The sequence below is a fragment of the Homo sapiens genome, chromosome 5 (assembly GCF_000001405.40).
Source record: "Homo sapiens chromosome 5, GRCh38.p14 Primary Assembly".
Taxonomy (NCBI): Eukaryota; Metazoa; Chordata; class Mammalia; order Primates; family Hominidae; genus Homo; species Homo sapiens.
The window spans coordinates 9750749-9777765 of NC_000005.10; the positions used below are offsets into that span (position 1 = coordinate 9750749).

General features: G+C 38.6%; 1 protein-coding gene, 2 long non-coding RNA genes and 1 pseudogene across 3 annotated transcripts in view, besides 2 other annotated features; 2 read left to right on the top strand and 2 right to left on the bottom strand.

The window, feature by feature from the left end:
* Positions 1-27017, bottom strand: part of TAS2R1 (taste 2 receptor member 1) — a 276530-nt gene that overhangs the window by 123402 nt on the left and 126111 nt on the right. The gene's annotated exons all lie outside the window — the stretch shown is intronic.
* LINC02112 (long intergenic non-protein coding RNA 2112) overlaps positions 1-27017 on the bottom strand; it is a 262510-nt gene that overhangs the window by 109434 nt on the left and 126059 nt on the right. The window contains exon 5 of the long non-coding RNA NR_027112.2: positions 14723-14945. This is a non-coding gene — a long non-coding RNA (long intergenic non-protein coding RNA 2112). The remainder of the gene's footprint in view (positions 1-14722; positions 14946-27017) is intronic.
* LOC105374649 (uncharacterized) lies at positions 617-26078 on the top strand. Its single transcript, XR_925776.2, has 3 exons — positions 617-719; positions 24750-24835; positions 25906-26078. It is a non-coding gene; the product is annotated as an uncharacterized LOC105374649 (long non-coding RNA).
* Positions 10159-10265, top strand: RNA5SP177 (RNA, 5S ribosomal pseudogene 177; annotated as a pseudogene).
* Positions 23888-24480: an enhancer, noted in NCBI's record as "H3K27ac hESC enhancer chr5:9774748-9775340 (GRCh37/hg19 assembly coordinates)". NCBI's record gives its function as "activates a minimal SCP1, AML or CMV promoter by ChIP-STARR-seq in naive H9 embryonic stem cells {active_cell/tissue: H9 hESC(naive)}" and the evidence as "EXISTENCE:reporter gene assay evidence [ECO:0000049][PMID:30033119]".
* Positions 24623-25822: an enhancer, noted in NCBI's record as "MED14-independent group 3 enhancer chr5:9775483-9776682 (GRCh37/hg19 assembly coordinates)". NCBI's record gives its function as "activates an origin of replication core promoter dependent on BRD2, BRD4, P300/CBP and CDK7 cofactors, and independent of MED14, by STARR-seq in HCT116 cells {active_cell/tissue: HCT116}" and the evidence as "EXISTENCE:reporter gene assay evidence [ECO:0000049][PMID:35650434]".

The window sequence follows — 27017 nt, forward strand, 5'->3', positions numbered from 1 at the left end:
CCTCAAATTGGCAATCAGATTGAAATAACTGTTTCCTCTCAGGTTAAAGAAGATTAACCATTAGCTCTTTAGAAGAATAAGCAGGGCAGTCACAGACTTTATGCAATATTGATTGGATGTATCCTCACATACAAATGCCATAGAGTAGCTCTCAGGGAGCTATTACACAACTGTCTCAGGAGAGGCAGAGATACCATGTTATACTTCAATACGTATATGATGATTGATTAAAACAACCAGAGGTAGGTGTAATACTAGCTACTGGCCAGCCCAGAAATGACCAGGGCATGCAGAATAAGAATAGACTGGAGTCAGGAGCTGGATGTCTTTGGCCACATCTTTTAGTCTGGTTCCTTAAATATAAACTAAGGCAACTAGATCAAAGGTTTTTTATCTGTGATAAATGGATCTATCTCATTAGATCTGCTAAAATGTTACAAAATTGGAAATATATTTGCTTGTGTGGTTTTCTAATGGAAAATATTCACAGGTTTCATAAGACCTACAGAAATATCCTATAACCCTCCCCCACCCCCACCAAAAGAGGTTAGAACCACAGGGCTGGATGATGTCACACACTGCTTCCAAATCCAACATTTTATAATTCTATGGTCACTTCTGGTCAATATATTGGTCTGATGAAAAGACCATATAATATATTCTCATGAAACTAAAACTTTCCCAGTATAGAGACAGCAGACAGGTAATGCTCAATAGAGGTATGTAAATCTGAATCTGTATTTATTTTTCCTAATTTTTGAAAATGTCATCTGTAAAAGGTCAGAGAAACATCTGTTATAAATGATTCCTTCTGTTTTCTTTTTATTATTTACCCCAAAATAAGGATTCCCACACTTGCTTTACATTTCATATTTGTTTTACTCTCAGTGACTCTATATAAAGTAAGAGGTATACAAGAGTTTCCTCCAAATGAGATTACATGACTATTCAACTTTGAAACAAGATCCTGAAATACCTATTTAAATAACCAGTAATTGTTATGCACAAAATCTTCTCCAAAGAACAAACTTTAAAATGGTTATTAGCAACTCTTAATGGACCAAATTTTCTAACTCAATGTCCTAAGGTACCTAAACCACCTGCTCTCAGCTTTATTGTCCTGTTGCTTTAATTAACCATAGGTTCAGTTTAACTTGCATTCTAATTGGGTCCTTGACTAATTGTGCATTAAATACTTGGTAGCACAATACAGATAAGTAACTATCAACTTTCATTTGAACATAGAAAGCAATCTGGGAAGGCTTAGGATGTCATTAGACTGTAGTTGATGGTTTCCCGTGGAAACAAAGGAGAAGGAAAAGATTAAAATGACTCAAAAGCATGATCGATACCCACAGGCATACATCAGAGATCAGAAATCTTTAAAATAAAGTTTTGTGTTAAGTTAGATACACTACCCATTCTGGCATTTTCAAAGTGTATTTAGGGTGAGGCTGAATTCAACTCCAGGATTCAGGAGAGGTTGAATGTGCAGATTCTTATAAGAACTTGTGAGTATATGTCCTGGTATTCACTGTCTTGTCAGCCAATGTTAGCTTTTGGCAATGGCAGAAAATAACTGAGTCCTCTGTACTCCAGGGTCCATGTAGCTCTACTGAAAACTTGTTTCTTCTTTACATGCTCTTCTTTCCACTCTGGCTTTCCTAACACCTAAATGTCTGATATCCCTCTTTCTCCAACAATTACTTAAATATTGGTGCTATCTGGCCGTCTAGCCTGAGGCCCCTCACATTGTTTTTATGCATGAATGAAGAACTCCCACTTACGAATTCTTAGCAAATATATCATTTTTTTTATACTTTAAGTTTTAGGGTACATGTGCACAACATGCAGGTTTGTTACATATGTGTACATGTGCCATGTTAGTGTGCTGCACCCATTAACTCGTCATTTAACATTAGGTATATCTCCTAATGCTATCCCTCCCCTTCCCCCCACCCCACAATAGGCCCCGGTGTGTGATGTTCCCCTTTCTGTGGCCACGTGTTCTCATTGCTCAATTCCCACCTATGAGTGAGAACATGCGGTGTTTAGTTTTTTCTCCTTGTGATAGTTTGCTGAGACTGATGGTTTCCAGCTTCATCCATGTCCCTACAAAGGACATGAACTCATCCTTTTTCATGGCTGCATAGTATTCCATAGTGTATATGTGCCACATTTTCTTAATCCAGTCTATCACTGTTGGACATTTGGCTTGGTTCCAAGTCTTTGCTATTGTGAATAGTGCCGCAATAAACATACGTGTGCATGTGTCTTTATAGCAGCATGATTTATAATCCTTTGGGTATATACCCAGTAATGGGATGGCTGGGTCAAATGGTATTTCTAGTTCTAGATCCCTGAAGAATCGCCACACTGACTTCCACAATGGTTGAACTAGTTTATAGTCCCACCAACAGTGTAAAATTGTTCCTATTTCTCCACATCCTCTCCAGCACCGGTTGTTTCCTGACATTTTAATGATCACCATTCTAACTGGTTTGAGATGGTATCTCATTGTGGTTTTGATTTGCATTTCTCTGATGGCCAGTGATGATAAGCATTTTTTCATGTGTCTTTTGGCTGCATAAATGTCTTCTTTTGAGAAGCATCTGTTCATATCCTTTGCCCACTTTTTGATGGGGTTGTTTGTTTTTTTCTTGTAAATTTTTGAGTTCATTGTAGATTCTGGATATTAGCCCTTTGTCAGATGAGTAGATTGCAAAAATTTTCTCCCATTCTGTAGGTTGCCTGTTCACTCTGATGGTGGTTTCTTTTGCTGTGCAGAAGCTCTTTAGTTTAATTAGATCCCATTTGTCAATTTTGGCTTTTGTTGCCATTGCTTTTGGTGTTTTAGACATGAAGTCCTTGCCCATGCCTATGTCCTGAATGGTATTGCCTAGGTTTTCTTCTAGGGTTTTTATGGTTTCAGGTCTAACATTTAAGTCTTCAATCCATCTTGAATTAATTTTTGTATAAGGTGTAAGGAAGGGATCCAGTTTCAGCTTTCTACATATGGCTAGCCAGTTTTCCCAGCACCATTTATTAAATAGGGAATCGTTTCTCCATTTCTTGTTTTTGTCATGTTTGTCAAAGATCAGATGGTTGTAGATATGCGGCATTATTTCTGAGGGCTCTGTTCTGTTCCATTGGTCTATATATCTGTTTTGGTACCAGTACCATGCTGTTTTGGTCACTGTAGCCTTGTAGTATAGTTTGAAGTCAGGTAGCATGATGAACATCAGTGTGAAAATCCTCAATAAAATACTGGCAAACCAAATCCAGCAGCACATCAAAAAGCTTATCCACCATGATCAAGTGGGCTTCATCCCTGGGATGCAAGGCTGGTTCAATATATGCAAATCAATAAACGTAATCCAGCATATAAACAGAACCAAAAACAAAAACCATATGATTATCTCAATAGATGCAGAAAAGGCCTTTGACAAAATTCAACAACCCTTCATGCTAAAAACTCTCAATAAATTAGGTATTGATGGGACGTATCTCAAAATAATAAGAGCTATCTATGACAAACCCACAGCCAATATCATACTGAATGGGCAAAAACTGGAAGCATTCCCTTTGAAAACTGGCACAAGACAGGGATGCCCTCTCTCACCACTCCTATTCAACATAGTCTTGGAAGTTCTGGCCAGGGCAATCAGGCAGGAGAAGGAAATATTCAATTAGGAAAAGAGGAAGTCAAATTGTCCCTGTTTGCAGACGACATGATTGTATACCTAGAAAACCCCATCGTCTTAGCCCAAAGTCTCCTTAAGCTGATAGGCAACTTCAGCAAAGTCTCAGGATACAAAATCAATGTGCAAAAATCACAAGCATTCTTATACATCAATAACAGAGAGCCAAATCACGAGTGAACTCCCATTCACAGTTGCTTCAAAGAGAATAAAATACCTTGGAATCCAACTTAGGAGGGATGTGAAGGACCTCTTCAAGGAGAGCTACAAACCACTGCTCAATGAAATAAAAGAGGATACAAACAAATGGAAGAACATTCCACGCTCATGGGTAGGAAGAATTAACATCGTGAAAATGGCCATACTGCCCAAGGTAATTTATAGATTCAATGCCATCCCCATCAAGCTACCAATGACTTTCTTCACAGAATTGGAAAAAACTACTTTAAAGTTCATATGGAACCAAAAAAGAGCCCGCATTGCCAAGTCAATCCTAAGCCAAAAGAACAAAGCTGGAGGTAAAGATATCATTTATAAAATCTTGTCTAACATAGATAGTCTTCCTCTAATTTCCATTTCAGGTTTTAAAAATTTTTGATAAGACAAGGGATTAGTCAGATGGGTTAATTCCATAATTTACGGTTCATTAGCCCAATTCGGTATACCCTCAAAACTTTCAGCCTAAGAAGAGTCCTAGAGATCCTGCCTCAGACTGGGGATATAGCTTTGTTACCAGAAAAGAGTCCCGATCCAGACTCCGAGAGAGTAGTACTTGGATACTGCAAAAGAAAGAATTTAGGGCGAGTTCATACAGTAAAGTGAAAGCAACTTTATTAAGAAAGTAAAGAAAGAAATAGGCCAGGCATGGTGGCTCACGCCTGTAATCCCAGCACTTTGGGAGGCTGAGGCAGGTGGATTGCCTGAGCTCAGGAGTTTGGGACCAGCCTGGGCAACATGGTGAAACCTGTCTCTACTAAAATACAAAAAATTAGCCAGGCGTGGTAGCGTGCGCCTGTAATCCCAGCTACTCGGGAGGCTGAGGCGGGAGAATTGCTTGATTCCAGGAGGTGGAGCTTGCAGTGAGCCAAGATCGTGCCATGGCATTCCAGCCTGGGCGACAGAGTGAGACTCCATCTCCAAAAAAAAAAAAAAAAAAGAAAAACAGAAAGTAAAGGAATAAAGAATGGCTATTCCATTGACAGAGCAGCCCCGCAGACTGCTGGTTGTCCGTTTTTATAGTTATTTCTTGATTACATGCTAAACAAGGGGTGAATTATTCATGAGTTTTCCAGAAAGGCATGGGCAATTTCCCAGAACTGAGGGTTTCTCCTGATTTTAGACCACATAAGGTAACTTTCTGACATTGCTATGGCATGTGTACACTGTCATGGCACTGGTGGGAGTGTAGCAGTGAGGACAGTCAGAGGTGACTCTCATAGCCATCTTGGTTTTGGTGGGTTTTAGCCAGCTTCTTTACTGCAAGTTGCTTTATCAGCAATGTCTTTATGACCTGTATTTTGTTCTCCTACCTCAGCCTGTGACTTAGAATGCCTAACCATCTGGGAATGCAGACCAGTAGATCTCAGCTTTATTCTACCCAGCCCCAATTTAAAATGGAGTTGCTCTGGTTCAAATGCCTCTGACAGTTTGGCAGCATCTAAATGACATCAGTTTGGAAGTTTGTACCCCAAGAGTCTACACGAGGGAGCATAAAGTAGTTCAAAGTGCCTGCTATAATCCTTTCCATGAGATCTAAGAGTAAAGCCTAAATTGCTGGCCTGTACCTTACGCGAGAGCCTTCAGGGAAGCATCAGAGTAAAACAAAAATTATCTGGAGATGACAAAGACTTATGGTTGTGGTCAATTTATTACTGTAATTAATATCAGAATGCAGGAGGATACAATTCCCATTAGAGTATAGAGAATAATTATTTCATAAGGGTTTGATCAATGTCTCCCAAGAGTAAGGCAAATCCCCAGAATCTTCTTATAAGAAATATACTTTCTGAAATACTCATGTTCATATTCATAACATTGTACCTCTACAAACTCAAGAGGAGGTTAAGCATCTCTTCTAATTTGACAGCTTTTCCCATGGGGCTCTTGCAATACTGTTGGGCTAATTTAAGAAATACATAGCACATAAAACAAAATTTTTTTTATGTTTGTCTTTTCATACAGTAAGAAAGTAAATCTTTGTGAGTGGTTGGGGGCCTTTGGGAAATTTCAAAGGTATTTTTCGGTGTAAAAGATATCATGACATTTTTATTTTATTTTTTCTAAATATAGGAGCTGATCTTTGCAAGGCAAAGTCGAAAGGGTTGTCAGGAGATTTGGGGCACTTGATTTTGATTAGATCATAAGCACCTGAGAAACAACTGCATGGTGATCTGTTTAATCAATGTGACAAGAAAATATTTTGAAATAAACATAAAAGATAATATGCTCATAAAGAACCTTAGTTCTTTCACATGTGAGAAAAGTTTGTTCTCTGGATTTTTCTTCAACAATCAAGGACATAATAAAGTCAAAATAAAGCACACACATAAAGCACAGAAAATGGTTCTGGTAGGCACAGGTTCTCTGCTCCCCAGACAGATTTCAGAGAAGTTAAAGAATAATCTTTCATTCTGTAAACGAAGGCATTAATCATCAAACCAAGGAAATAAACCCATCAAAAATGAACCAACATTTAAGATTTTAATTTACTTTATGCCTTCTTTTCAGATTTAGTTATTAAAAACCAAGGCAAATAAAATTCATTTTCCAGGTCTCATATTTTACTGAGCTCTTTCATAGTGTGGAACAAATTGACTTTTATATTAGGATAAAACTACTCTCCTTTTTCTTACAAAACAAAGGCATATGCCCACCTGCCTTTCTCTGTCATGACCTCTAGTATAGTCTCAACCACAGATACTGATTACAGTTTCTCATCAAGGTGAATATTTCCTATTTCACAGAGAAAAATAGAGGGTATATGATTGAGAAGTGTCATTCTGCAGCATTTTAGCAGAATAGCACGGCTCATGAACACATTTAACACAGCTTTGGACAGTCACAGCCACCCCTTTTACATCTTCTTAAAGTGGCAAAAATGACATTTATTAACATGATATAGACTCTTCAGCATGTAGAATTATAAAACTTAAAATCATGCTTAGACATCAAGATTTCAGTATTCTGCATTACTTACACAATGTCTAGATATCTAAGAATTACCCATTAATTAGCTTAAATTAATATTAGTTCAAGACTTTAAATTACCTAAAGACCTTGGAAATTACATTTAAACTAGCACGCTGAAAAACATAATTACCACTGATAGAAAAGTTTGTTAGAAAAATGATTCAATTTAGTTGAACACAAATTACTTTTCTCATAATCTTTAAAACTCTGTAGGAGTATTATTAGCTTATTTTATCTCAAAACCTATATAATTTTAGAAAGTTTAGGCTATTTTTTTCATGAGAAAAACAACCCAAGTAAAATAACATGTATATACAGTTAATATCAATAATTTTGAAACCATGATTATTAAATAAATTGTTCCCATTTGCCAAATATATATATTAATTATGTGAACCTAGATTCTTAAAAGTTTTCAACGTAGCAGTTTGTGTAAAAATAATTTTTAAAGTATAGCACATTTTTAAAAGTCTAGCACTTTTAAAGTATTAGAAATTTGATTTTACTACTTTAAAGAAACTCTAAGAATATTTGATTTACTTAGGTATGTATTCATCTCTATAAGTAATTAGAACAAAGCTCTTTTAACTGAAGAACCATAACAACCTAATTTATTAATATCTCCTGGAAATAGGGAAGAAATCATACCAGTCCAATGAGGGATTACGGCCTTTGTCAGTTACGTATACACAAACACACAAACATGAAAACATATACAGAATTTACAGCTTCAGTTCTACAGCAACTGCCCCAGGTCAAAATAAACATAGACACATACGAACTCCGTGGTCCAGATTTCAAAGAGCTGTTCTCCTTCCCAGAAATTTTTAATTGGTTGGAGCTCAAAATAGACAAACAAAATCTAAAAGAACCCAACAAAGAACTGTGTCTCTCACCCAACAGAGAAGAGACCATTATTGTCCACCTATAGAGATCAACAAATTGAAGATAATAGAACCATATTTCCAATCCTTGCTGCCTCCAAGGAGGAATAAATTAGTATCCGTGTGAGCAAGAAACAAAAACAAAACACAAAATCAGGGAAAAGGAAGAAAATAAAGAGAAAATCAAGGTTAAACTTCTACAGCCACTTGGAACTTAGACTGAGAGCCAAGAAAAGACTCCCCCAGGCTTCGGCAGCCCATGAGGTGCACTTGTCCCATAACAGTTGTCAAGTAAATCCTGTCGTCTCCCTGGGGCTTCTAAACTAATATAGAATAATTTTCAAATGGTAAAATTATGACTGTCATACAAATATAAAATAAACAGGGGTGAACAGTTTTACTTTCCTCATGAATTCATGAAAAAACGCTGATATTTAAGCATTTATGCCCAGAACATGCAGCTGGAATGGTGAACCATATAATTTTGCACAGCTTCCTTAAGTCATAGCTATTGGAACTGTAGAAGTCAAAGCAGATGGTGGTGACTCCATTATTTAATCTGGTTCACAAAACATCGTATCTGTCACATGCTCTTTGTAACATCTAAGGTAATTACAAACATTTATTATTTAAAATTTGATTTTTATAATTGTCAAAATATATTCAAAATTTAGTTGGCTAAATTGGTTGAATGATCAAACTGGACAACCATCATTGTACCAGGAGGCTGAAACCATGGGCTCAGTCTCTCCCACTGACACTGACCAACTTTGCACTCAACACTCTGGAAATCCAGCATCTCATTCATAAAATGTAAAGGTCAGGATGCACACTCTTTGAGGGCCTTTCCAGCTCCAAAGTCGATGGCAATGTTGTCAATGAAAGATCAACAGATCAGTGCATTATACCCAGGGTGCTTGTACAGTTAAAAAGTTTCTGGCCCCCTTCCCAGATACACCAAACAGAATTTGGGTGGAATCCAGGAATCTGCATTTTAAATAATATCCATATTATTCTTATACAAACTAAAGTTTGAAAATCATTAGTATATGGATGTTTTTCCCCTGAACAAAAACCAGTTATGACTGAAAAATAGTTATCGAGTTTTTCTGGTAAGTGGTACACTACTCAGTGCCTTCAAGTAAAGGTGATCTACATTACAAGTTGTCTAAAATGATGTTTGAAAAGGAACCAGGTTGTCAGGTTGTCACTATTTTTAAAGTGGTGGTTTATTATGGTACATGGTTCATTATACCAACTATAAGATTTTGAGTATCTGCTTAGTTCACCAGTGAACAGCTGTGAACCAATGTGTAGATTCTTTTACCCATTCCTCTTGCTTTTCCCTTTCTTCTTTCTTAGAAGTGGTTTAGAGAAAACAAATAAAACCAAAAGCTGGTTCTTTGAAAATATAAATAAACTTGGTAAATCTTTCACTACACTAACCAACAAAATGAGAGACAAGACACAAATTATCAATATCAGAACTTAAAGAGGGGTCATAACTACCAGTCCTATGGTTAGTAAAAGGCTAATTAAAAATACCAGCAATAATGTTTTACCCACAAATCTGATAACTTGGTAAGACAGACCAATTCCTTGAAAAACACAAATAATCAAAATTCATATGAGAAGTAATTTGAATAAGCCTGTGTTATTAAAGAAATTAAATCAACAAGTAATAACCTTACAAAACAGAAAGGACCTGGCTCAGCTGGAATTACTGGTGAATTCTACCAAACATTTAAAGAAGAACTAATACCAATTTTTACAATGCCTTCCAAGAAGATAGAAGTAGAGGGAACATTTCCCAACTTAATATGAGGCCAGCATTGCCCTAATATCAAAACCATGCAAAGACATTATAAGACAGGAAATCTGTAGACGAACATTTGTCATGTACACAGACTTAAAAACCCTCAACAGAATATTAGCAAATAAAATACAACCAAGTGTAAGAAGAATTGTATACAACTAAGTGGGAAATATTACAGGTATGCAAGGCTGTTTCAACATTCAGACATCAATCATTGTGGTCCACCATGTCAACAGGCTAAATAAGAAAAATCATATAATCATATCAATGGATGTAGAAAAACCATTTGACAGGATCTAACACCCAGTCATGATGAAAATCCTCAGTACACAAAAAGGATAAAGGAAGCTTCTCAACTTGATTTAAAGCCATACCAAGATGTCAGTAGCTAACATCATACTTACTTGTGAGAAACGGAATGCTTTCCTCTTAAGATCAGGAAAAAAGTAAGATATTGTCTCTCACTATTTCTACACAACACTATTTCTACAAAACATTCTAGAAATCCTAAGTAGTGCAATATGACAAGCAAGGGTTATACAGATTGGAAAGAAAGAAAACCCTCTTCGTCCACCGCCATACCAGCCTGAACGCACCCGAGCTCGTCGATCTCCGAAGCTAAGCAGGGTTGGGCCTGGTTAGTACTTGGATGGGAGAAAACTGTCTTCATTCACAAATGATATGATTATCTATGCAGAAAACCCCCTAAGAATCCACAAAATAACTCTTGGAGCTAATAAGAGAATAACAAGGTCATAGGATATAAGGTTAATACACAAAAGATTATTGCTTTTATCTTATAAATGGTTGCTCTTTCATTGTGGAAAAATGTTCACCCAAATAAATGGGCCTTGCCACTCTGAGAAGGTTGTGACCCAACTGAGGAGAAAATACATCTTCCTCTGAGAATTAATAAGCCTCTGCAAGGAATAGCAAAACATATTTTTTCTTTTTATTACTTTATCTTTCTCATTTTTTATTTTCCTTGGAGCTGAACAGGAGGGAAGCTAGACAAGAATTAAAGGTCAAATAGCCTAACTAGAGGAAGGTCTTGATGGTTATACTTCAAGTCCCAGAAAAAAAAAAAAAAGTACAGTTAGATGATAGAAAATGGAGATTTATGGTTGCTTTACACAAATAATAAAATAAAAGACTTAAATCTTTACTCCACTTGAAAACTCCAGAAGGATAGAAGAAATTGCATTAGTCTTTTGCAAAAATATTTTGATAACTTTTTCTTACTTATGTGTTCCATTTGTCATTTTCTCTAAACTACACCTGCCCCACCTTGAAATGTTTTTATCTAGGCTTTGAATGCCTTTGCTCAGTTATCCAGCAGGCTATGATCCTCTGCGTCTGCTCTCTGCCGATGTGTGAGTGCATCAAATGCAAGGGTTGCAAGAGTAATTATGACTCTGTTACTGCACAGCTCCGTAATCATGACAATAAAACCTGGTAAAAATGCTCAGACCACATCTTAGCCTGGTTCCAGACAGTGTTCATTTCTGAAGCTCACTTTTCTTGGCTTTCTGTGTAGCTCCACTGACAAGTTTTCCAAACCTTTGAAGTCTGGCAAAATTCCCAAACCCCAGGACTCCTCAGGAGAGATGCAGCAGTGGAAGCTGAGCTGACTGCCTTTAGGCTGGGTCATGGCGTCCCCACGAGCCTTGCACCACCCACCATCACTTCCTTGTCACTTCAGAGCCCTCAACAAGACAAAAGGGCTCACCAAAAAAACACCTCCTCTTTATTACAAGAACATGGAAACCTTTTTTCCAGCCTCACACTGGTAATAATAAAAGAATATGCTGTCTAAAGTCTTTCTGTTTTTACCTAGGAGATGGAAGCCGCTAAGGGTAGGTCATTAGCCTATCCTGTAAGCTTTTCACTCTTCCACCTCCACATACAACCGCCCCTAAAATAAAAGACCCCTATGTAGCAAAATACCTGCTCAAAGGAATTTCTGCAAATAAAGGCACAAAACAGGATATTGTACCTTTTATATTTTTGGTGAGAGTCAAGGGACCCCAGTCTCGGATTATTAAAATTACTAAACGTGGTTCATATCACCAAGTTCAAAGGGGGTAAAAAGGATTAAGCTTCACAGCATTCCACACGAAAATGTATCACTGGTAATGTGTCTTTTCCAACCACAACAAAGATGCCACGTGGGTTGCTACATGGAGAAGTGTTCAAGTATTGCGTGTCACAATATAGACCCGGTAAATTGTCTTCGGAACTTTCACTTTTCCAAAATGGGTTTCTGTGTGAAAATCTGCAATGATCTGAATCTTTTCCCTTGAGTCCTGGTGTTTAAAAGATAGCACAAAAGCTGCTCAGAAATCTAGGCTTGACACCTGCTAGCTAGAATTCAAAAAGGAAAGAGTGGCAAAGTTCACACCACTTGAGAAGAAGATCTCTTTCAGAAATAGCCTTGTGGCAATGGAGAGCAATCTGCAATTTGTAAGAGTTCCCTGCCTCTAAACTTACTTAGGAAATTATTCCACTGGGATGAGATTTGCCTAAATTGGAAACAGAAAGAATTCTCTTTGGAAAATTCCTATCAAAAAGAAAGGAAAAACCATGTCTCATTGCCATTTCCCCATAGGATTCTTTTCTACAAACACACACCAAGATAACATATATAAGACTCCAAGAAGCCCATTCAGAGAAAGAAATATATACAAAATTGCAAAAACAGAAGATAATTACTGAAAGGACAAGCATAAATTAACTTTTTGCTTTTCCTAAAATAACATCTATATTGAAACTTTGTTTACGCTTAACCTTCGGAGAATTAGTTTTGAAGGATTTTTAATTAAACTGAAGAAGTAGAATCAAGAAAGTTGCAAAAAAAGGGGAAGCTGTTAGAAATATTATGTATGGCCAGGCACGGTGGCTCACGCCTGTAATCCCAACACTTTGGGAGGCCGAGGCGGGTGGATCACAAGGTCAAGAGATCGAGACCATCCTGGTCAATATGGTAAAACTCCATCTCTCCCAAAAATACAAAAATTAGCTGGGCATAGTGGTGCGCGCCTGTAGTCCCAGCTACTCAGGAGGCTGAGGCAGGAGAATTGCTTGAACCTGGGAGGCAGGGGTTGCAGTGAGCCGAGATTGCACCCACTGCACTCCAGCTTGGGTGACAGAGCGAGACTCCATCTCAAAAAAAAAAGAAAAGAAAAATTATGTATGAGAGAAAACAGCAATGCTAGAATTTGTTCTGTGACTCCATGAATGGGAACAAGGAAACATACCACAGGAAGTTATTGTCTACAAATGAACCAGATGTGCAGCAACATCTGAAAACCTGCTCTGCCGTGGGGCACTGTAGGAAGAAATGCAAAAGCGAGAATCGGAAGAACAAAGGAATGAGAGGGTAGAGCCAAGTGCCGCAACCCAGCATCCAACCAAGAATTAGAGACATCAAAACCCCGGGATGGGGCCTTAGACTCTGCCAGGAACAAAGAAGTGGGAAATAAACGTAAAACAGGCCATTTTCAAATGAATTGCTGTGTGCTCCTAACCAATCCAACAGAGCATCGTTTAGCTAGTAAAACAATATGGAAAATAAAAGTTAATGTTTGTAGAAATTCAGAAAGGAAAATAATGCAAGAATCTAATTACTTCCCAACTTAGGGAGGATAAAGGAGAAGACACAAAAGATTGAAGTGAAAATTGAAATGACCTCCTATGCTTTTATCCTTCCTAGATTTCAATGGGCTTGCTATTCAAAAATAAATTAAAAGGTTGTGTGTTTAACAGTCAGACTACAGAAAGACAGACTATTTGAAATTTATAGGAGACAAACTTGTGTTTTAAAAAATAAAAGGAAAAATTCACAATTGTTTTTCCCTAATTCTGGGAAAGGTTATATCACTTCTTCATCTGAAATTTTCAAAAAGTGTATCAATATGGCACTTACTTTTCTACCACCCTATGTAGCTTCGGATGGTGTCCGACACATCTGTAACACTCAGTTCTATAAAAACTTCTAAGAGCACTTTTAAATGTTAGCACTTTTAAGATTGAATTACCCTGGGAGTATTGAGGCTTTCAGTATTAAAATAATTTCTGGCTAGCATTTTCGAGCTGTTCCCAACATCTTATTAAATACCTATAGAAACCAGCTATAAAACTGAAATTCACATTTTCAGCAAACTAAGACTCACAGTCAGTCAGCTTACAGCTCGGATCTAGGAGGAATTTCTACCAGAAAATGACAAATCTGAGAAGAATTAGAATGTGTTCACTAACAAGTAGGTCCCTTACACATAGAAGCATATATGTAAACATTGTCACCCTTAAAGACAGGAAAACATCAGCTCATTCACACTCTGTCCTATAGCAGAGAAGCATTTTGGATGGAAAACAATTTCTCTAGATATATCAAACAAGAGAACATGGCACAGGATACAGCAATTTCAGTTCTAGAAGCCATGTCTAAAGAAAGAGCCTGAGATTTTGACCAAGGTTTATGTATAAAATTATTTATGGCACCTGTTTAAAACCAAATGAGGAAACTACAAACCACTTGAACCACCACTAGCAAGGGAAGAGTTAAATAAATCATCACACAGCCAATGAGACTACTTACATAAACTGTGAAACAAAAACACGAAAATATGCTCACAATACAACATCAAGTGATAAAAAGTAGAGCACAAATTTAGGATATAAAATGTATTTATAGTATGAACCCAGTTACGTTAAAATCACACATATATACACACACACAAACACACACATCTAGAAAAACCCTGGAATTCAATAAATGAGTTAGTAGTGGTTGTCTCTAGGAGGCAGAAACAAAACAACATTAAAATTTCTCTACACTGAGCAGATGGCTCTTCTATAATAATAAAAATAGTACAAATATTGTTATTTAAATTAAAAAAATCAAGTACTCATTGTGAGGCTTAGAACAACATTGAACTTTTACTATCACTTATTCTTGTCTTAAGAGAGACAAATTAATTGCTTATTCCTGAACCTCAGATAATAACATATGCCCCCTGGGTTGGGATGGGATTCAGTGAAATAATTTAATCCAAATAATATATTTTAAGTGCCAAGTACAACTCTAGCACAAATTAGGTATGAATAAATGCTGGTCAAATCTGTATACATACATTGGAAGTAGTCAGTGATCTGTTCAAAAAAAAAAAAAATCCACGAAACTTCATTCCAGATGAGCAATTCAATTGCTGCTTCTCCACAGGCATGGGAAGCTCACACCCACACAGCTGATCTTTAGCGCCCACCACCATCTGGAAGATGCCTTCCAGTGCAGTTTGGGACTCTCCCCTTGATGGATACCAGATGGCACAGAAAGTCCTAAAGACATGCTTCATACTGGTGGCAGAAACACAGGCAAGACACACAGAGATGAAAATAATGGAAGACCTAATGCAAGAATAAACGACCCAGTACCTCATTCTATAGCAAGTTCTCACATCAGTGCCCCTGGAATAACTTTAGAGCATATTATTAAAACTGTGTTTTCATGTCCCACAAGGACATAGACTAGATTACCCGAAGACAAAAGCATCAATGTGTCAAATGTGCATATAGGTGGCCTAAGGCAATGAGAAATAGGTTTTCATTTCACTTTATTAACATTTTATCTGAATTGCATTTCTCTTTGTCTGGTGCTCTGTGATCATACTGGGCTGAGTTATTCACAGCCAGGATGCTACTTGGCCTTCCAGATTTATTCTTCATTATCTCCAAATAAAATAATTAAATTGTATGCAGGAATACAGCACAAAGCCAAAGATCTTGTAATGCATTTTTAAAAGTAAATCATCATCCATGCAGAAAAGCAATATAATGGAATATTTAAATTTTGCCAGTGAAAACCTCCAACAAACCTAGATAATCCTGAATCTGTAGGTGTTTCATATTTTTAATGCAGAAAGATGTGAAATAAATGTTTACAAATGCTTACTTTACATTCAAAATCAGTTTCTATGTGAAGCCAAAACATGTAGGAAAGAGGGGTCTAAAATATTTTTAACAATTTGAAGCTGGCTAAGGATTGAGACTAAAACAGACTTCAGGCCCTTTACAGGGAAACAAAACAAAAATGCTGGAAGAAGGTAGCAGGCAGAGTGATCAATACAGAATGGTGGTGAAGCAGGATTTTCTACATGCATTCCTGCCTGGGGCAGTTCTGAGTACCCCAAAGGATCCCAGAGGTCACCTGGGTTGGATGAGTCTCATAACCCCTTATAAGGCAATGATCACGGATCAGTATCTACCCTTCAGCTTTTGTCCCCAGTACACATCTGTCAACTGAATACAAGGTAAGGGAGGTGTTCCGAATGTGGGCCAAACAGTGCACTGTGGTGGTTGATGTGTCTTTCTCTGTGCAGGCCTGAGTTTCCATTCCTGGGCAACCCCATACAGTGGAGGACTGACTCAGACTAATGGCCAGCCTCTGAACTACATGACTGTGGCAGAGGTTAAAGCATACAGAGAGGGAGGGAGGTGTGACTCAGTTATGAACCTGTCATAGCCAGGAGCTCACAGAATCCTCTCTTGGTTTCCTCCACCGCCCTGGCTGCTCCTCACTTCCTCATTGATCACTGATGCTGGCATGCCTTGGGCTCCATCCTATGCTCTCTTCTCTCCCATCCATGCACTCTTCTTTCATGAGTCTAAACAACACCTACACATGGATGGAGCCCAAATCCATCTCTCCAGCCATGGCCTCTCCAGAGCTTCAGGGAGTGCATCTGACTGCCTACCCAATGGATCCACTGACATTTCTGGAAGACACCTGTGATTTAACATAAAGCCTATCATTTCCTCCTCCAAATTTGTTCCTTTCATCGTTCTTCCCATCTTGGCAAATGGCATGCCCTCCCCCGCAATCCCACGCATCATCCAGGCCCCAAATCTAGGATGCATCCTTCATTTCTCTCTCTACGTCGGTGCTCATATGCAAACCATATCCTGACCCCACCTGCTCCTTGCCAGCTCTCCTACTTCCTGACTTGTCTGAGCTGTCCAGATCTCTTGTTCACACAGTGAGCCTCGAAGCTGGACCCACATTGCCAACTGTTGGATCCTGGCTCTGCCACTTACTCACTGAGTCAAATCTATGTGGCTCAGTTTTCTCATCAGTAAAACAGGGAAAATAATATTCCTGATCTCCTAGGGTCATTGAAGGGCTTCATCAAAGTAAGGCTGGCACCCAGCAAGCACTGCCTCACTGGGTCTTGATCCTCAGCAGGCCTCCTGACCCGTAACCACAGTCTGTTTCCTATGTGACAGCCAGGGTCACCCATTCAAAACCAGATCAGGTGGGGCGTGGTGTCTCACGCCTGTACTCTCAGCACGTTGGGAGGCCGAGGGTGGTGGATCACTTGAGGTCAGGAGTTTGAGCCTGGCCAACATGGTGAAACCCTGTCTGTACTAAAACTACAAAAACTGGCTGGCATGGTGGCGCACACCTGTAGTCCCAGATACTTGGGAAGCTGAGACAGGAGAATTGCTTGAATCCAGGAGGCAGAGGTTGCAGTGAGCTGAGATCGTGCCACAGTACTCCAGCCTGGGCCACAGAGCGAGACTCCGTCTCAAAAAAAAAAAAAAAAAAAGCCAGATTACATCACTCCTTCACTTAGAACCCTGTACTGGATTCCCTTTTTAATTTGAATCAAGCCCCCACACTCCTTCCTGAGGCCGACAGGCATGATCTCTCTCCTGCCCCCACCCTAACTGCATCTGCTGTCAGGAGCCTCCTTGTCCATTACCCATCCAGCACGCCATCTGTCCATCCTTACGTTCCCCACACATGCCAACACATCCCTCTCTGGAGACTGTGCACTCTCTCTGTCTGGAATGTTCTACCCGAAGTCTGCACATGGCTGGCATCTTCCTGTCCTTCAGGTCTCAGCCCAGGTTCACCAGCTAAAAGACACCTGCCTTGGGTCCCAGACACTCTCTCACACATTTGCTCTGTTTCATTGTATTCACAAAATCCCTCATTTCCTTCTCTCCTCCCTAAAGCCTCTCAGTTTTGAATCCCATGTCATCAAATTGTATCACCCATTGACCTTCATGAAACTGTCAACTCACACTCAACATGTCTAGCAAGTTTGACTTCCTAGGTCAGCGCTGCTTTCCCATGACCACTCCTATTCTATCCTTGGTCACCCCATGGCCTCCTGGTTCCTTAAACACTTCTCCTCCACCAGTCTCAGCCACTGCATCTTTCCTCCTCCTTCGCCTCCTTGCTGACCTCCATCCCCTCCTTCTCCAACTCCCATTCCTTGAACAGTCACTACTGCTTTCTTTGGCCAGTGCCCTCAAAACTCTTGGCACTCACACTTTGTCATAATTGCTTGGCAAATCAGCTACCCTGAAATCCAGCTCTCTACCAACTGAATGTAGCAGAGAAAACATGTTGACTAATTGCTTCTTTTTTAAAGAAACTATTTTTATGGGTACGTAATAGGTGTATATCTTTATGGGGTGCATAAGATATTTTGATATAGGCATACAATGCATAATAAGCACATCAAGGTAAATAGGGTATCCATCAACTCAAACATCATCTTTTCTTTGTATTACAAATGATACAATCCTCCTTTGGTTATTTCAAAATATACAATAAATTATTGTTGACTGTAGTCACCCTGTTGTATTATCAAATGCTAGATCTTATTCATTCTATCTAATTATATTTTTGTACCCATTAACTAGCTCCACTTCCCACGCCCTCATCACTACCCTTTCCAGCCTCTGGTAACAATCATTCTACTCTCTGTTTCCATGACTTCAGTTGTTTTAATTTTTAGCTCTCATAAATAAGTGAGAACTTATTTGTCTTTCTGTGCCTGGTTTATTTCACTTAACATAATGACCTCTAGTTCCATTTATGTTGTTGCAAATGACAGGATCTCATTCTTTTTTTATGGCTGAATAGTACACCATTGCACATATGTACCATGTTTTCTTTATCTATTAATCTGTTGATGGAAACAGGTTGCTTGCAAATCTTGGCTATTGTGAACAATGCTGCAATAAACATGGAAGTGCAGATATCTCTTTTATATACTGATTTCTTTGGGGTATATACCTAGCAGTGGGATTGCTGGATTATATAAAGGTTCTATTTATAGTCTAGTGAAGAACCTCCAAACTGTTCTCCATAATGGTTGTACTAATTTACATTCTCACTAACAATGTATGAGGGTTCCTTTTCTCCACATCTTTGCCAGAATTTGTTATTGCCTGTCTTTTGGATATAAGCCATTTTAACTGGAGTAAGATAATATCTCATTATAGTTTTGATTTGCAGTTCTCTGATGGTCAGCGATGTTGACCCCCTTTTCATACACCTGTTTATCACTTGTATGTCTTCTTTTGAGAAATATCTATTTGGATATTTTGCCCATTTTTGAACTGGATTGTTAGATTTTTTTTGTATAGAGTTGTTTGAGCTCCTTGTATATTCTGGTTACTAATCCCTTGTCAGATGGATAGTTTGCAAATATTTTCTCCCATTCTATGGATTATCTCTTCAGTTTCTTGATTCTTTCCTTGTCTGTGCAGAAGCTTTTTAACTTGATGTGATCCCCTTTGTCCATTTCTGCTTTGTTTGCCTGTGCTTGTGGAGTTTTACTCAAGAAATCTGTGCCCCAACTCCAATGTCCTGGAGAGTTTCCCCAATGTTTTATTGTAGTAATTTCATAGTTTGGGTATTAAATTTAAGTCTTTAATCCATTTTAGTTTGATTTTTTATATGGCAAGATGGGGTCTAGTATTGTTCTTCTTCAGATGGATATTCAGTTTTCCCACATGTTTATTGAAGAGATTATCCTTTCACCAATGTATGTTCTTGGCACCTTTGTCCAAAACGAGGTCATTGTAAATGTATGGGTTTGTTTCCAGGTTCTCTATTCTGTTTAATTGGTCTATGTGTCTGTTTTTATGCCAGTACCATGCTGCCTTGGTTACTATAACTCTGCAATAATTTGAAATCAAGTGAAGTAATTCTTCCAGTTTTGCTCCTTTTGCTCAGGATAACTGGCTATTTGGCTATTTTGGGTCTTTTGTGGTTCCATATAAATTTTAGGATTGTTTTTTCTATTTCTCTGAGAAATGTCATTGGTATTTTGATAGGGATGGCATTAAATCTATAGATTACTTTGGTTAGTATGGACATTTTAACAATATTGATTCTTCCAAACTGTAAAAATGGAATATCTTTACACTTTTTGTGTGTCCTCTTCAATTTCTTGCATCAATTATAGAAATATCTCACTTATTTTATTACATTAATTCCTAGGTATTTAATTTCATTTGTAGCTATTGTAAATGTGATTACTTTCTTGATTTCTTTTTTGGATTGTTCACTGTTGGCATATAGAAAAGGTACTCATTTTTGTATGTTACTTTTGTATCCTGCAACTTTACTGCATTGGTTTCTCAGTTCTAATAGTTTTTTGGTGGACTCGTTAGGTTTTCCCAAATATAATAATATCTGCAAACAAGGATAATTTGGCTTCTTCCTTTCCAATTTGGTTTCCCTTTCTTTCTTTCTCTTGTCTGATTGCTCTAATTAGGACTTCTAGTACTATGTGGAATAACAGTGGTGAGAATGGGCATCCTTGTCATGTTGCAGATCAGAAAGGAAAGGCCTCCAGCTTTTCTCCATTCAGTGTGAAGCTAGCTGTGCATTTGTCGTATATGGCTTGCATTGTGTGTTGAGTTATGTTCTTCTACATCCAATTTTTGAGGGTATTTATCATGAAGGGATGTTTAATTTTATAAACTGTTTTTTCAGCATCAGTTGAAATGATCACATGGTTTTTATTCTTCATTCTGTTGATATGATGTATCACATTGATTGCCAGTGTGAATCAATCTTTGCCAGATCTTTGCCAGATTTTGGCAAAGTTTTTTCAGCATCAGTTGAAATGATCACGTGGTTTTTATTCTTCATTCTGTTGATATGATGTATCACACTGATTGATTTGCATATGTTAAACCATCCTTGCATCCCTGGGATAAATCATCCTTGATTATGATGAATTATCTTGTTAATGTGTTGTTGAATTTGATTTGCTAATATTTTGCTAAGGGTTTTGCATCAATTTTCATGGGAATATTGGTCTGTAGGTTTATTTTTCTGATGTGTTTTTATCTGGTTTTGGTATCAGGGTAAAAGTGGCCTTATAGAATGAGTTTGAAAGTATTCTTTCCTCCTCTTTTTTCAGAATAGTCTGAGTAGTATTGGTATGAATTATTTAAATGTTTGTTAATATTCTGCAGTGAAACCATCAGGTCCAGGGCTTTTCTTTGCTGGGAGACTTTTTATTATGGCTCCTATCTTGTTATTTGTTATTAGTCTGTTCAAGTTTTGAATTTCTTCATGGTACAATCTTAGTAGATTGTATGTGTCCAGCAATGTATCTGTTTCTAGGTTTTCCCACTTATTGGCATATAGTTGCTCACAGTAGCCTCTAATGATCACTTGAATTTCTGAAGTGTCAGTTGTAATGTCTCATTTTTCATCTCTGGTTTTATTTATTTGGGTCTTCTCTTTTTTTCTTCATCTGGCTAAAAGTTTGTCAATTTTGTTTATCTCTTCAAAAAACAACTTTTAATTTTGTTTATCTTTTTTATTGTTCTATTTATTTCAACTTCATTTATTTCTGCTCTGATCTTTATTATTTCTTTTATTCTACTAATTTTGAGTTCTATTTGCCCTTGCTTTTCTAGTTTTTAAGATGCACCATTAGGTTGTTTATTCGAAGTTTTTCTTCTTTCCTGATGTAGGCACTTACAGCTATAAATTTTCCCTCTTAGTACTGTTTTTGCTATATCCCATAGGTTTTGGTACGTTATATTGCCATTATGATTTGCTTCAAGACATTTTTCAATTTCCTTCTTAATTTCTTCATTGACACACTGGCCATTCTGGAGCATATTGTTTAATTTCCATGTGTTTGTATAGTTTCCAAAGTTTCTCTTGTTATTGATTTGTAGCATTATGTCATTGTGGTCAGAGAAGATGCTTGATATCATTTCAATTTTTTTAATGTTTTAAGACTTGTTTTGTGACCTTATATGTGGTGTATCCTTGAGAATGATCTTTGCGCTGAGGAGAAGGATGTGTATTCTGCAGCTGTTGGATAAAATGTTGGGTAAATGTCTACTAGGTTCATTTGGTCTATAGTGTAGATTAAGTCCAATGTTTCTTTGTTGATTTTGTCTGGAAGATCTAATGCTAAAAGACAGGTGTTGAAGTCTCCAGCTATGATTGTATTGGGGCCTCTCTCTCTCTTTAGTTCTAATAATATTTGCTTTATATAGCTGGGTGTTCCAGTGTTGGGTGCATATGTATTTAAAATTGTTATATACTCTTATGGATTGACCCCTTTATTGTTATATGATATCCTTTGTGTCTTCTTACAGTTTTTGTCTTAAAGTCTATTTTGTCTGATATAAGTATAGCTACTTCTGCTCTTTTTTGGTTTCTACTTGCATGGAATATCTTTTTCCATCCCTTTATTTTCAGTCTATGTGTTCTTTATAGATGAAGTGTTTTCCTTGTAGACAGTAGGGCATTGGGTATTGTGTTTTTCATCCATTCAGCCACTCTTTGCGTTTTGATTAGAGTTTAGTCCATTTACTAATGTCACCATGTACCAATGTTATTATTGATAAGTAAGAATATACTCCTGCCACTTTGTTATTTTTCTGGTTGTCTTGTGGTCTTCTTTTCCTTCTTTCCTTCCTTCATTTCTTTTTTTTAGTGAAGGTGACTTTGTCTGGTGGTGTGATTTAATTTCTTGATTTTCATTTTTTTTGTGTGTATCTGTCATATGTTTTTTGATTTGAGGTTACCATGAGGCTTGCAAATACTATCTTAGAACCAACTATTTTAAGCTAATAACAACACTGCATAAACAAACAAGCAAACAATCAAAAAGTAATAAAAATGCTACACTTTAACTTCATCCTCTCTCTTTTTAACTTTTTTTTTGTTCTAGTTACACTTACTGTATGTAACGTCTATTTCTTGAAAACTGTTTGTAGCAATTTATTTTGATTGGTTAATCTTGTAGTCTTTATATTTAAGATATGAGTAGTTTACACACCACAATTACACTGTTACAATATTCTGTGTTTTTCTGTGTATTTACTAATAGCAGTGAGTTTTGTACCTTCAGATGATTTCTTATTGCTCATTAACATCCTTTTCTTTCAGACTGAAGAACTCCCTTTGGCATTTCTCACAGGACAGGTCTGGTGTTGATGAAATCCCTCAGCTTTTATCTGTCTGGGAAAGTCTTTCTTTCTCTTTCATGCTTGAAGAATATTTTCACTGGATATATTATTCTAGGATATAAGATTTTTCCTTCAGCACTTTAAATATGTCATGCCACTCTCTCCTGGCTTGTATGATTTCCACTAGAAAGTCGGCTGCCAAATGTATTAGAGCTGTATTAAATGTTATTTATTTTCTCCTGCTGCTTTAGGATACTTTCTTTACCCTTGACTTTTGAGTGCTTGCTAATTAAATGTCTTGATGTAGTCTTCTTTGGGTTAAATCTGCTTGATGTTCTATAGCCTTCTTGTACTTGAATGTTGATATATTTCTGTACATTTGCAAAATTTTCTGTTATTACCCTGTTGAACAAAACTTTCTACCCCTATCTCTTTTTCCACCTCCTCTTTAAGACCACTAACTCCTAGATTTGCCTTTGGAGGTTATTTTCTAAATCTTTCAGGCATGCTGCATTCTTTCTTACTCTGCTTTCTTTTGTCTTCTCTGACTGTGTATTTTCAAATAGCCTGTCTTCAAGTTCACCTAATTGTTTCTTCCATTTGATCAAGTCTACTGTTAAGAGACTCAGGCATCCTTCGGATGTCAATTGCAATTTTCAACTCCAGAATTTCTGCTTGATTCTTTGTAATTATTTCAGTCTCTTTGTTAGGTTTATCCGATGGAATTCTGAATTCCTCTGCTGTGTTATCTTGAGTTCCATTGAGTTTCCTCAAAACAGCTATTTTGAATTCTCTGTCTGAAAGATCACATAATCTGTTTCTCCATGATTGATCACTGATAACCTTATTAAGTTCGTTTAGTGAGATCACGTTTTCCTGGAAGGTCTTGATGTTTGTGGATGTTTGTCAATGTCTGGGCATTCAAGAGCTTGGCATTTATTGTAGTCCTGACAACCCGCATTTGTTTGTACTCATTGTTCTTGGGAAGGCTTTCCAGAGATTTGAAGGCACTTGGGTGTTATGATCTAAGCTTTTGGTCATGTAGCCATATCTGCATTAGGGGGCACCCCAAGCCTAATAACGTTGTGGTTCTTGCAGACTCATAGAGGTACTGCCTTTGTGGTCTTGGATAAGATCCAGAATAATTCTCTGGATTACCAGGCGGAGACTCTTGTTCTTTTCCCTAACTTCCACCAGACAAAGTCTCTCTCTGTGCTGAGCTGCCTGAAGCTGGGAAAGGTGACACAGGCACCTCTGTGGCCACCACCAGTGGGAGTGTGCTGGGTCAGACCTGAGGCCACCACAGTGCTTGGTCTCACCTAGGACTGGTGTAACCACTGCCCAGCTACCACCAATATTCACTCAAGGCCCTAGGGCTCTACAATCAGCAGCTGCAAAAGCAAGCTTAGGCTTCTGTCCTTCCCTTTAGGGTGGCAAGATCACCTCAGTCTCAGGCAGGTCCAGAGATGTCATTCAGGAGCCAGGGCCTGGAGTCAGAAACCTTAGGAATCTACTCAGTACTCTGTTCTACCATGGCTGAGCTGGCACCTAAACCAAAAGACAAAGTCTTTCCCACTCCTGCCCTCCCCTTTCTGCACACAAAGGACTCTCCCTGTGTCCACCGCCATCCCAGGCCTGTGGTGAATATTGCCTGGCTACTGCCAATGTTCACTCAAGGCTAAGGGCTCTTTAGTCAGCTTGTGGTGAATGCTGTCAGGCCTGGGACTCTTCCTTCAGGACAGTGGGCTCCTTGCTGGCCCAGGGCAGTCCAGAAATGCTGTCTGAGAGCCAACTTCTGGAACTGGGGACCCTGAGATCCTACTTGGTGCTCCATCCCACTGTGGCTGAGCTGGTGGTACCTGAGGTGCAAGACAATGTCTCCATTACTCTTCACTCTCCTTTTTCAAGCAGGAGTCTCTTCCATAGACATCACAGCTGGAAATGTGCTGAGTCATATCTGAAGCCAGGATGTTTCTGAGTCTCACCCAGGGCCCACAGTGAGTACTGTCTGGGGGCTGCTGTTGATTATTCAGGGCTCAAGGGCTCTCTCTCTCTAGTCAGCAGGTGATGAATCCTGCCAGGACTGGGTTCTTCCCTTCAAGGCAGTGGGTTCCCTTCTGGCCCAGGGTATATCTAGAAATTTTGCCCAGAAGCCAGGGCCTGGAATGGGGGCCTCAGGACTCTGTTGGGTGCCCCATCCTACTGTGGCTGAGCTGATATCCAAGTTGCAAGACAAAGTCCTCTTTACTCTCCCCTCTCCTCACCTCAAGAAAAAAATAAATAAAAAGGAATCTCTCCCAGAGGTTTGAGCTGAGCTGCCTGGAGTTGGGGTAGGGAGGGGTGGCACAAGCGCTCCCTTGGCTGCCCCAGCTGGTGTCTCCCTAGGTTGCATGCTTCCCAAGTCCACTGACTGTGAGCCCTGGACTTGCCCAGGATTTGCAGTTCTGGTGACCCAGACTGCCTTTCAGGTTGATTCAGAACCCCAGAACACTTTAGCCCATGGTGGCAAGGCTTGTTGGAACTCGGGTTCTCACCACTGGGATAGGTGATTCCCCTCTGGCTAGGGCTGGTCTAACTGCTCCCTCTGTGGACACAGGCTGAGTTCTGCCCAGTTTTGCTTTCCACTGTGACAGGGCAGCACTGTGTTCCAATGCAAAGTCCTGTAGTCACTGCACTCTCCCTCCCCCAAGTGCATGGATTCTCTCTCCATGCCACATGCCCACTGCCAGGTAATAGGGGAGGGATGGTGTCAGCAATTCAAAACTGTCTTTCCTACCCTCTTCAGTGCCTCCTTCAGTGACGTGAAATTAAAAAGAGGTAGTGTGATCGCTCCTGTGACTTTTGGTTTTTATGAAGGTGCTTTTTTGTGTGGACAGTTGTTTCTATCCAGAGTAATTTGGTGTTTCTGCAGGGAGGATGATCAGTGGAGGCTTCCATTCACCCATCTTCTCCTGCCTCCTCTCCTAATCACCTCTTAAATTCATGAGGAGATTCAAGTGGGCCTTTAGTGAGGTCAGGCACAACCACCCATGAAGCCCTGTTTTACTCACTTTCCCATTCCTCCTAGATGACTATTTCACCTGACTTTCAGCTTAATGACGTGGCTTCCTGCTTGACGTGGAAAGTGGAAGCACTCAGAGGAAGATGGCCAGACTCCCCACACCACATTTTCCTTCTTACAGTCGTCTATGTTGACACATTCTGCCTTCCATCTACAGGCATTCCTTGGAGATATTGCAGGTTCAGTTCCAGACCACCACAATAAAACAAATGTCCCAATAAAGTGAGTCATATGAATTTTCTGCTTTCCAAGTGCATATAGAAATTATGTTTGCACTATAATGTAGTCTATTAAGTGTGCAATAACATATGTTTAAAAAATGTACATACAGTAATTAAAAATACTTTTTTGATAAAAAATGCTAACGATCATCTGAGCCTTCAGCAAGTTGTAATCTTTTTGCTGGTGAAGGGTCTTGCTTCTATGTTGATGGCTGTTGATTGATCATGAGGGTGGTTGCTGAAGGCTGGGCTGGCTGTGGAAATTTCTTAAAATGAGACAACAGTGAAGTTTGCTGCATCGATTGACTCTCTCTTTCATGAAAGATTTCTCTGAAGCATGCAATACTGTTTGATAACATTTTACCCAGAGAACCTCTTTCAAAATTGGAATCAATCCCCTCAAACCCTGCTACTGCTTTATCAAATAAGTTTATGCAATATTCTAAGTCTTTTGTGGTTGTTTCAATAATAGTCACAGCATCTTTGCCAGGAGTAGATTCCCTCTCAAGAGACCACTTTCTGTGCTCATTCGTAAGAAGCAGCTCCTCAACTGCTAAAGTTTGATCATGACATTGAAGCAATTCAGTCGCATCTTCGGGCTCCACTTCGAATTCCAGTTCTCCCACTATTTTCACCATATCTGCCATTACTTCCTTCGCTGAAGCCTTGAATCCCTCAAAGTCATCCATGAGTTTTGGAATCAACTTCAAAACTCCAGTTAATGTTGATACTTTAACCTCTTTCCATGAATCACAAGTGTTCTTAATGACATCTAGATGGGTGAATCCTTTCCAGAAGGCTTCGAATTTGCTTTGCCCAGATCCATCACAGTAATCACTATCTATAGCAGCTATAGCCTTATGAAAACATTTCTTAAATAATAAGACTTGAAAGTCA